General features: G+C 38.3%; 1 protein-coding gene across 5 annotated transcripts in view, besides 1 other annotated feature; it reads left to right on the top strand.

The window, feature by feature from the left end:
• The window catches only part of TSPAN12 (tetraspanin 12), a 71,016-nt gene extending 63,223 nt beyond the window's left edge, over positions 1 to 7,793 (top strand). For all 5 annotated transcript variants that reach the window (XM_047420096.1, XM_005250239.4, XM_047420095.1 and 2 more), the window contains one exon: positions 6,216 to 7,793. In XM_047420096.1, the coding sequence (XP_047276052.1) occupies positions 6,216 to 6,521 (306 nt within the window). In that variant the 3' untranslated portion in view covers positions 6,522 to 7,793. The remainder of the gene's footprint in view (positions 1 to 6,215) is intronic.
• Positions 2,744 to 3,038: an enhancer, noted in NCBI's record as "tiled region #15278; K562 Activating DNase unmatched - State 12:CtcfO". NCBI's record gives its function as "activates a minimal TATA promoter and a strong SV40 promoter by Sharpr-MPRA in K562 cells {active_cell/tissue: K562}" and the evidence as "EXISTENCE:reporter gene assay evidence [ECO:0000049][PMID:27701403]".

Here is a 12,094-nt window from a genome sequence, read left to right as displayed (position 1 = left end):
TTGAATTTTATCATTTGCCTCCTCTTTTTACTCTACAGAAATGTTTGTTTATGCAGCTAGATATCTATAAATAGTATAATAAATACATATAAACACATCTATGTTTTTTATCTAGACTTAATGTCTTACTTTTCAAGACAAGTTTACACTGAAAAATGTAAACCTTATGCATAATTATTTGACTGGCTCAAAATATGCTCAGGGTTATGTTCAGGTTGAATTACTTCAATAAGAGTGATTCAGAACAGACAGAAAACCCTGGAGCTATTTCAATGAAGAATTTACAGAGTGACTGAGGAGGTCAATCATCTTATACAGACAAATCTGGAAAAATACTGTCCTCTCAAGAAGAGAGCTATTCTTTGGAAAGTTGGTTCTTAAATTTAAGTACTTGTGAAAATGATTCACTGATATTCAGCATGACACCTGTGTTAGGCAATTCTTCCATTGCTAGAAATAAATACTTGAGACTGGGTAATTTATAAGAAAATAAGTTCTGCAGGCTGTACAGGAAAGGCAAGTGATAATGGTATCTGCCCCTGGGAAGGCCTCAAGGAGCTTTGACACATGGCAAAAAGCAAAGCGGCAGCAGGCACATCACATGGCCAAAGCAGGAACCGGAGAGAGAGATGGGGGGTGGTGCTACACACTTTTAAAGAAACAGATCTTGGGAGAACTCCGTTATCACCAAGAGGATGGCCATTCATGAGGAAACTACCCCCATGATCTAAACACCTCCCACCAGGCCTTACTTCCAACACTGTGGATTACATTTCAACATGAGACTTGGGTGGGGACAAATGTACTAATTATATCAACGCCTGTCTGCTGCAAGTTTCTACATGCCTAATGAGTCAGCAAAGAAACATTTAATTGCATGTACTATAGAGAAATTTGTGCTTTTACTTATATAATTACACTCTGTATCTTTTAAAATTGAATTTATTAAAGGATATAGGGCAGCATACAACAAAAATACAGTAAATTAATAATAAAATATAAACAGAATTGGAAAGTCAAAGTTAAAGGAAAGAGTAAGCAGAGGTGCTTAACATGAAGACAGACAGTTACTGTGGTTGAGTGTCCTGTTTGCCTCTCAGCTTTCTGACAGCTCAGGTGAAAAGGAGGTACAATCATCACCATAATTCTAATGTTAGGAGAGCAAACATTCTAACCTCAAAGGGAGCAAAATTCTAAATATTTTATCAAGTGGGATTTTATATCTACTACTTTATCGAGAAAAAATATCTTCAATATCATTTTTCACAAATTTTATAGAGCAGTTTCTTATGGTGTTTTCCAATACATGTCATTAAATACACCTTGGTGGAAAATAATATGCAAGGGCATAAGTTAATATATTGCAAGTTGGCATATTTTGGTGACCTGGTTTGACGGATGGACATACAGTACTGAGATGTCAACTGATTTCATTTCTTTTAGACAACTTGTAGTTGACACCTCTTTTGGAGATACTCTTGATAGAGAAGCATAAAATATATAGTTTAATGAATTCTGATGACAAATTTGAGGACTGAAGTTCTGCCTTGTTTGAGGAGTTACCTGTATGCTTTTTAAACAAAATGAGGAAATGATCACCTGATATTTTGCTATATAAATGGAGGAGTCTAACTAGGTAGGACCTTTGCTTGGAACAAAGCATACTTGCCTACCTGAGTGTGAAGATAATCTTAAGGGACCAGTGATCTGGAAGGACACCAAGTCCCAACTATGTGATGTGTCAATACAATTGCATGTCTACATTTCTGGGCAACCGAAAAAGCTGTTTTGTCATTGGAATCCAAAGTCATTTTCAATAACCTTGATTGTCTTAATATGTCATTGCATTTTATAGTTTTTTAAAGTTACAAATCAATGTCATTTTCAAAGAAACATTGACAGAATCAACACAGTCTAGAAAAGGATCAGCAGAATGATTAAGTGTACATATTTGGAAAACTTGAAAACTAGGACTATTTAGCCTAGAGAGGAGAATAATTAAAGAGAAAGGGATAATTGATTCTTCAGCTATGACTGTCTACCTTATGGAAAAGGGAAGGGTTGAGAGCAGAGTTAGAACCAGTGCATCCTTACAAAGAAGGCAGGTTCCAACAAGGGAGTGCTTGTTAAAAATTAGTGTTGTTCCGGTGTGGACAGGGCTGTCTAGTGAGGCGAGGAGTCCCTCTCATTAGAACTGCAATTTCATTCATTGTTTTTTTATTCCCCTGTGAGTCATACTTTGTTTCTTTGCATGTCTTATAACTGTTTTTCTTTAAGAGAACAGGACATTTTAAATAATATAATGTGACAGCTCTGAAAATCAGACTTTTCCACCTCTCCAGCGTTTGCTGTGTTTATTTGTCGGTTCGATGGCATTTTCTAAACTAATTCTGTAAAGGCTGTATTCTTTGTCACATGTGGTCATTGAAGTTTCTACTCAGTTAGCTTAGTGGTCAGTTAATGAATGAACAGAGATTTCCTTAGATGCCTAGAACCAGTGAGTCTCCCGGCCTTTACCAAGGGTGCACAGAGCTTCAAGGTCAGCCAGAGGAGAGATCTCAGGATTTTGCAGGTCTTTCCTGGGACTATGCACAGCCCCTGAACCTAAGCACAGCCCTATTCATGTGTGTAACTTTCGAGATCTCCACGAATATGTCAGAGCTTGTCAAGCCCCCATGTGCACAACTGTTACCAACTGCCTCAGGCAGCCTCAGAGATCAATAGTTACCTCTAACTGTCGTTGGTAACCTCCTGGGGAGGGAGGGACCGGAGGCTGTTCCCTAGTCGAGCTTCAAGTTCAGGTCAAATAAAGACATCCTCCTGAGTGGGGTCTTCCAGGCCAGACCAGCCATACAGTAGCAATCCTCCGGGAGAGGCGCCTTGAAGGAGCTGCAACCCCATTCTGCGCCCTCTGGTGGCGGCTAGGCTGCCAGTTCTCACCAGGATTGCAGGCTCTTGGCTTTCTAGTCAGCTGAGGGGAGCAGGGATGGGAATAGGGCAAATGATAATTCCATAGCACTTGCTGTTCCTAAGAGATTCAGCAGCTTTTCGTGAATAAACGCTCCTCAGATTGCCGCAAGACTTTGGTTAATTTCCAGAATTCTAGAAAAATTGAGGTTAACAGGTTTTTTACCAGTGTTTTCATTGATTATATGAGTAGAGATTCTTTGGAGGTCCTTCCCATGCCAGTTTTGCTATGTCACTCTACAAGTGCTTTTTTGCCATGTTTTTAAAAGATAATAAGTTGAATTCATGACTTCCAAGGACCCCTCCCATTCTAGAGTGTTCAGTATTAATAGGTCTCATTCCCCAGCCATCCTAGGTGATAGAATTTACTGTACCATTTTAAAAATAAATGTGATTGTTTAAGATAAACTGAAATAGACTTTAAACAGTGCCAAGATATGAAACATGATAAACTGTACTTAATTATCAACCTCTGCCTTGTTTTATTCACAGATTTGAAAAGGAAACATTACTTTTCTGGCACAGTTTCTTAGCTTAAAATGAATTAGTCTAAAGAGGTAGGAGATCTTAAGCCAATATAGATACAATTTAAGCCCCAGAGACTATTGAAAGGGTAAAAATCAAGTAATTGACTGACAGCATTTCACAGAGTTGAATCATCGGCATATATATTTATTGAATGGCTTACTTTTTTGAATAACTAATACATTGTTATTAACTATAGTCACCACGTTGTATTGTAAACCTCTTGAACTTATTCCTCCTAACTGAAATTTTGTATCCTTGAATGGTTTACCTCTAAATCTTTTTTTTTTTTGAGACAAGGTCTCCCTCTGTTGCCCAGGCTGGAGTCCAGTGGGGCGATCTCAGCTCACTGCAACCTCTGCCTCCCGGGTTCAAGCAATTCTCATGTCTCAGCCTCCCGAGTAGCTGGGATTTCAGGCATGCACCACCATGCCCAGCTAATTTTTGTATTTTTAGTAGAGACAGTGTTTCACCATGATGGCCAGACTGGTCTCAAACTCTAAACCTCAAGTGATCTGCCCGCCTTGGCCTCCCAACGTGCTGGGATTACAGGCATGAGCCCCCACACCCAGCCAGTTTGCCTCTAATTCTGAAATCTATTATAATTATTATTACTAAAATATTAATATATTCATGCTAATTATTCACTAAAAGTCCATTTTTGTACTAAGTACCGAGCACATAGGTAAGGAATCAGCTAAACATGATCCAAGGCTGTTTTATATCAATTTCTTCAAAGATAGATGTGAGAAAATAGTGCCACATTATTTGGTAATGATGTTAAATGAAGTTGCCATGCAAATTAATTTTCCAGATGTCTGAAGCCAAACCTTTTTAACTTAACAAATTTTGAGGTGACTCTTCCCGAACTATGTAAAATATTTCTCTGCTTCATCAGGAAGCTAATGATCTAATGTCTCAGGAGCAAGTAATCATTTTGGACAGTTATCTCATTGTCCTGTAAAACAGTAGCAGCCACCTTGCTCTGTGCAGAAGTACTCACTGGTGACATAATGCTGTGCTTCTGGTGTTTTCATACTCTTTCATGAAGTGTTGTGCCTCGTACTTTTCCATTAATATCTGCTAATCATAGATTTTCCATCTATTTTTAATTTGATCTTTCTACTTTCTAATCTGTGAACTGACACATCAGACAAGAGATTGTACCTACTGGGTTCTTAACATGTATGAGGCACTATTCTAAGTGTTAAAATGTGTCTGTGCATTTAATCCTCCCAACATCTCAGACAGGTAAGCACTATTATCATCTATGTTTTTAGACAAGAAAACTGAAGCACAGAGAGATTAAGTAACTTGCCCCAAATGACATAGCAGTTCATGATCTTAACCATTATACTATACCGTTGAAGTGGCATCGTTCCTCTGGGGTAATACCCAAGGTTAGTTGTCTTAGGCCAAGGAAATCAAGGATGCGAACACACAAGGAGTGAGGTTAAGAGTGGAGGTTTAATAGGCACAAGAAAGAGAAGAACTCTCTCCTGCAGAGAGGGTTCCCGAGTGGGTTTTCCGGTCCACAGCAAAATGCAATAGGTTTTAAAGATGAGCTTGAGGAGGCGGAGTCTGATTTACACAGGGCACGAAAGATTGGTCAGATCAGGTGTACCATTCGCATAGTGCATGAAAATCTGGCCACCCCCCACCCTAATCTTTTATTGTGCAGATGGTCCTCTACTTGGCTGGCACCATATTACCTGTTTCTTTACTGTATACACAAAGACAAGGGACGATGGACCCTCCATGTTGAACATACGTGGCCCCCAGGTAGCCCTTTTCTGTTGGCACAGCTGCTGGCATTCACCTGTGCAAGCTTCCAGCTTGCTTGTCTATGTCTACAGCTCAATTTTTCAGGCAGTTCTATTAATGATTTTGGAGCTGCTTTTTGTTAAAAGGGAAATTCCACCGAGGACTCTTTTACCCTCACTATCTGCCTAAATAATTTCTATCTCCTGTATCACTGTGTCATATAAAGATGCTTATTAAAACAACACATAAACCTAAGAGTGAATGAGCTCTTATAGAATACTTGAGTGGAACTCTTTGTAAAATACTTAAATTTTGGTGAGTTGTCTTTGTGATGTCTATGTTAGTTTCCCACAGAATGTATGTCTATGTCTGTGTTTGTGCAAATTTCTTGTGTTTGTATCAAATAGGTTAAGGCGGCCAGAGAAGCGACTTTACCAAACCGGTGTTAAGTATTATTAAATCGTAAACATTGTGTGCCAGATCTGGCCTAATGCCTTTTTATGTGTTTGAAGTTTCACTGAAACCCAGCCACATTCATTCATTCACTTACCATCTATGGCTGCTTTCTTGTGACAGTGGCAGGGATGAGTAGTTGCCATAGAGACCATATGGCCCACAGAGCCCAAAATATTTACTATCTGTCTCTCTAAAAAAAGAAAACAAGTTTGTCAACCCCTGCTTTAGATGTTGGGTTTTATGTCAGTGGGCCTCAATTTCAGGTTTTGAGAAAGACAAAAGAAGGGGTTGGCTCATTGGAATCAGCTGGACAGGCTTTTCAAAAGCTACACACCTCCCTCTCTCCTTCTTCTCATCAGCTTTCCCTGAGAACCACTGTCTTAAACTTTATGATCCCAGTTAGTCTGATTTCATTAACTGATACAGATTGTTTGCTTTCATTAACTATTTTTGGCCTTCTGTAACATATCTAAAGTAATGTTGACCATGTATTTCTTTTACAGGGTTGTGGGAAGAAAATGTATTCCTTTTTGAGAGGAACCAAACAACTGCAGGTGCTGAGGTTTCTGGGAATCTCCATTGGGGTGACACAAATCCTGGCCATGATTCTCACCATTACTCTGCTCTGGGCTCTGTATTATGATAGAAGGGAGCCGGGGACAGACCAAATGATGTCCTTGAAGAATGACAACTCTCAGCACCTGTCATGTCCCTCAGTAGAACTGTTGAAACCAAGCCTGTCAAGAATCTTTGAACACACATCCATGGCAAACAGCTTTAATACACACTTTGAGATGGAGGAGTTATAAAAAGAAATGTCACAGAAGAAAACCACAAACTTGTTTTACTGGACTTGTGAATTTTTGAGTACATACTATGTGTTTCAGAAATATGTAGAAATAAAAATGTTGCCATAAAATAACACCTAAGCATATACTATTCTATGCTTTAAAATGAGGATGGAAAAGTTTCATGTCATAAGTCACCACCTGGACAATAATTGATGCCCTTAAAATGCTGAAGACAGATGTCATACCCACTGTGTAGCCTGTGTATGACTTTTACTGAACACAGTTATGTTTTGAGGCAGCATGGTTTGATTAGCATTTCCGCATCCATGCAAACGAGTCACATATGGTGGGACTGGAGCCATAGTAAAGGTTGATTTACTTCTACCAACTAGTATATAAAGTACTAATTAAATGCTAACATAGGAAGTTAGAAAATACTAATAACTTTTATTACTCAGCGATCTATTCTTCTGATGCTAAATAAATTATATATCAGAAAACTTTCAATATTGGTGACTACCTAAATGTGATTTTTGCTGGTTACTAAAATATTCTTACCACTTAAAAGAGCAAGCTAACACATTGTCTTAAGCTGATCAGGGATTTTTTGTATATAAGTCTGTGTTAAATCTGTATAATTCAGTCGATTTCAGTTCTGATAATGTTAAGAATAACCATTATGAAAAGGAAAATTTGTCCTGTATAGCATCATTATTTTTAGCCTTTCCTGTTAATAAAGCTTTACTATTCTGTCCTGGGCTTATATTACACATATAACTGTTATTTAAATACTTAACCACTAATTTTGAAAATTACCAGTGTGATACATAGGAATCATTATTCAGAATGTAGTCTGGTCTTTAGGAAGTATTAATAAGAAAATTTGCACATAACTTAGTTGATTCAGAAAGGACTTGTATGCTGTTTTTCTCCCAAATGAAGACTCTTTTTGACACTAAACACTTTTTAAAAAGCTTATCTTTGCCTTCTCCAAACAAGAAGCAATAGTCTCCAAGTCAATATAAATTCTACAGAAAATAGTGTTCTTTTTCTCCAGAAAAATGCTTGTGAGAATCATTAAAACATGTGACAATTTAGAGATTCTTTGTTTTATTTCACTGATTAATATACTGTGGCAAATTACACAGATTATTAAATTTTTTTACAAGAGTATAGTATATTTATTTGAAATGGGAAAAGTGCATTTTACTGTATTTTGTGTATTTTGTTTATTTCTCAGAATATGGAAAGAAAATTAAAATGTGTCAATAAATATTTTCTAGAGAGTAATGATTTGTCTCTGCCTACTTTTTAATACATTACAAGCACTTATGCCACTTGAGAAGATTGTCAAGGGGAGAAAAACATGAGAAAGAATGATTGCATAAAGTATTAATATTGATTTCCAAACTCCGGAATGGACCTATAAGAATATGTATTTTCACTGAGAAGAGTCAAAAAGATGCCCATTTTTCACTTTTGCTTTTTACCTAAATGTTAAATAATATACTTGTTTGAGATAATATAAAAATATGCCCATTTGTGTTCATCTTTTCAATGTTTGCATATCACAGTTTTATAACTTATTAATTTTTAAGAGACTATGAGTCTCTTAGTTAATTTCAAATTCTCTTCAAATGAGTTAAGGAATATAATCCTTGAAATTGACTGCCATGTTTAAAATCTTCCATAGATTTTAATGAAAACTGAGTACATTACTTGTTCAATCAGAGCCAAAAGCATCCCTTTTAATAACTTCCTCAATACCCCAAATCCCTGTAATTTCACCTAAAATACCCACGTAACTGAGATAGCTATGTATGAGTTTTGTTTGAATTATTTGTATAATGGTCAAATTTAGCTGCTGCTTTTTTTGATATGTCTTACAGTCACAGCAAGAGCAAGCATATAATATGTTGGGCTCAGTAAAATAAAAAGTCCTCAAATTATAAAAGTTGCTTTCTACATTTTTAGACCTCAGATATTTTGATGTATTACCTGATACACTACCCTCTAGAATGGTCAACATAAATTTAGACAATCGTTTTGTATATAATACACTTGCTTAATGGGAATGAATGACATTTATAGCAGTAGCTCACAAAGCCTCTTATGGTAGCAGTGCACCTGGAATAATAAAACTGCAAGGGAGTTAAAAAAGTATATTTAATGCAGTAGAGCTGAGGGAGTTCACTATTTGGGTACATTGCAAACAAAACTGTTAACTGTTTCTTTGGGAATTTTTAAAAGCTTTCTTTGGTTAAAAAAAAAAATCACCATTTTTTAAAAGTAGAAATTTAAGAAGATTATTTTTAGACTGGTTAAAAGTCCATTCAAAGTGCCCTGGAGACTCAGAGATGGCAACAAGAGATGATGTCTGTCCTTAAACACTGTAGAATCTGGGTTAGAGACACTTGTGCTAACCACAGGAAAAATAAATAAGGGAATATGCAGTGAGTGGGGCCCTTCTTAAGAATAAGAGATGGAGTAGAGTGGAATTAAGGCAGCTATGCCAAGGAGATGGCGTTCAAGCTGGATCAGAAGGAGCAGTGGAGTCTAGCTGGCTCATGGAAAATATTCCATGAGCCATGAGTTTGAGGTTAAAAAGTATACATTATTTTGGAGTTATGACTTATGGTTCAATGTGGTTAGATCATAGAATGATTGAAGAGATGCCATGGGACAGGAAATGAATGAAATTTGAGTTTGGGTGCTTTGTTCTGTAGGCCCAAAGTAAAGTCACCGAAGCAATTTCAGAAAGAGAAATGATGAATATTTCATTAATTTAACTGGATTAGCCAAGTGAGAAAGAGGGGACCAGGAGACAGTTATACTTATTTTGCAACTCCTGGGTGGGTGGGCCACCATTGACCACAGCCTAGGTAAGTGGAGCACTTGAGAGTTGTACACACTGCAGGCCCTGGCAGGAGACTGAATAGATTGCTGTTGTTGTGGTCCTGGAGAGGGATAAGGATCCTCACCAGGACAATGGAAGTCAAAAAACAGAGTGCATAAAACAGATCACAACAGGGTGAATCCACAAAAATTGGCAGTAGCTAGACCTCAGGGAGTGTGGGACAAGAAGTAAAAGTACTGAAATTTCTGGATTTTGTGCCTGGCAAATTGGCAATGGCATTAACCTAGATGGAAGACTGGAGGGGAACGAGTATGAGAGGGTAATTAATTTGGTCTGAGACACAGAGTTGGAGATGCCTGCAGGACATGCAGATGGAGATGTCTACAGGCAGCTGTAAATTTCAGTCTGGAGCTCAGGAGAATTCACTGTCAAGCCTGAGAATTTTTATGCATTGCTTTCCCATCTCAGGAAGCCTGACAGAAAATGGGCTGGGAACCAAATCTTATATGAGGAGAATCTTAAATAGATTGCCACAGAAGCTTCCTTTTGTCTGAATTCCCTCTCCTGTGGATGAGTCAAGGGAGGTAAAGAAAGAAGAAATCACTATACTACTGAATCTTCTCTGGCAAAGAAGCTGCCCCTTTTTTAAAACACTGCCAACTGCTATGTTGCTTCACCCAACCCCCTTCCTATTGTCATCCTGAGATTTACAAGCAGATTCGTCTCCCCTGTGAACTGAGTTCTCATTTCCTCACATCCTAGAAACATATATAGGAGAATCTTTGGTATCATCTTGATCTTGAAAGCTTTTCTTTTTCTATTTTTATGTGTTAATTGCAATCACTCTTTACCTCATACTTTCAGGGGTGCGTACTAGGTACCAGGCACATGTAGGAGGTGCTTTACACTTATTTTCTCTGTTCTTCACAACTCATTTGCAATTTGCAGGCACCCCACTTTATTTTACAAATGAACAAGAGGGACTCCAAGAGACTGAATACATTTACTTAGCTAATATGTGGCAGAGCTATACTTCCACTTTCCCCATTTTGTGGCATGGTATCTTCACCAGCCTGTGGTGAAGCTCAGATGATTCTTTACCTAGAAAAGCCAAATTCTCCTACATGTAAATCAATATCACCAGGCCAAATCAAAATGATGCTCTTGTCTAACCTCATTCCTACTATTATTTCCCAAGAACAAGTATAAATTATCTAAAATATCTTGTACACACACATACACACACAGGCAAATTAAGTTCTGTTTTTTTTGAGACAGAGTCTCACACTGTCACCCAGGCTGAAGTCAGTGGTGCAACCTCGGCTCACTGCAACCCCTGCCTCCCAGGTTCAAGCGATTCTCCTGCCTCAGCCTCCCAAATGTCTGGGATTACAGCTGTGCATCACCACGCCTGGCTAATATTTTGTATTTTTAGTAGAGATGGGGTTTCACTATGTTGACCAGGCTGGCCTTGAACTCCTGACCTCATGATCCGCCCACCTCAGCCTCCCGAAGTGCTGGGATTACAGGCATGAGTCACCATGCCCAGCCCAAATTAAGTTCTTTAATCAACTTTATTGAGATTTTATATACATATATATATAAAAACATACTATATATATATACACACACACATACACACACACACACCCCTAATAAATATACCCCTTTCAAGTATATAGTTAATTAGTTTTGGCAACTATATATACTCATGTAACCACAACAACAATCGAGATCTAGAACATTTTCATCGTGTCAAAAAGTTTCCTCTTGCCCATCTGTGATAAATCCTGCATTCCCCTCTCCTAGCCCCAGGCAACACTGATCTGTTAACTATCACTCAGATTAATTCTTGTGAAACTTTATTCTTATCTTGCTGCTTCCTTACTCGAACACTTCCAGAGGTTCCTTGTTGTAAGAAAGGCAGAGCTTCCCAACTCATTCATGTATATGTTATTTATAAGACACGCTAGGATACGTGAAGCTCAGGGGCCACTGGCCACCCTAGGCCTTGCCTGGCTACCATGAGGACTACAAGGAAGCAATAGCTCAATTCAAAATTTTGGCTGCTATATTAGAGATTTCAAAATACCGTGGCTTAAACAAAATAGAAGTGAAATTTTAGCTCATAAAATGCATATGTGAGTAACCCGAACTATGGCTGCCTGAAGGTGTCTGGGACTCGGGATCCTTCTCTCTGGCTACTCTACAACGCTGAGGTGTTTGCTTTGCTCACATGGACCCAAGCAGCAGCCTACTTCCACATTTCACACAATAGGCCAGACAATGGGAAAGTTAAAGGGAAGGAAGCATACCTCTTCCCTTTAAGGACCTACTCAGAAGCACACACCACTTTCATTGACACCACACAGCTACAAGGAAGGGTCGTAAATGCTTTTTGTTCCGAACACTCATGCATCAGGTTAAACCAGGAATTTCAATAACCACACAGAAAGAATGGGTAATGAGTACTGCTGTCAACTAGCAAATCTCTGCCACACTCCTCAGTACCTGCAGAATAAAGTCTTCCACTACCTGATTATTTTTCCAAATCTATCTCCCTTAATACTTTCCCAAATATCACTAGAAACCAGCCAGCGGGACCAATCCTAGTCCACTCATTGCCTCTAACATCCCATATATCCTGTATCTCTTTGATTTTGCTCTCACCATGGTTCTTCGCTGGCATAACCTCATCTCCACAATTTCAGCTTGTACTCAACTTTGAAGTCCC

The sequence above is a fragment of the Homo sapiens genome, chromosome 7, assembly GCF_000001405.40.
Source record: "Homo sapiens chromosome 7, GRCh38.p14 Primary Assembly".
In the NCBI taxonomy this organism is placed as follows: Eukaryota; Metazoa; Chordata; class Mammalia; order Primates; family Hominidae; genus Homo; species Homo sapiens.
Note: the sequence above shows the minus strand (reverse complement) of the source record. Positions and strands in the feature narration are given on the sequence as shown.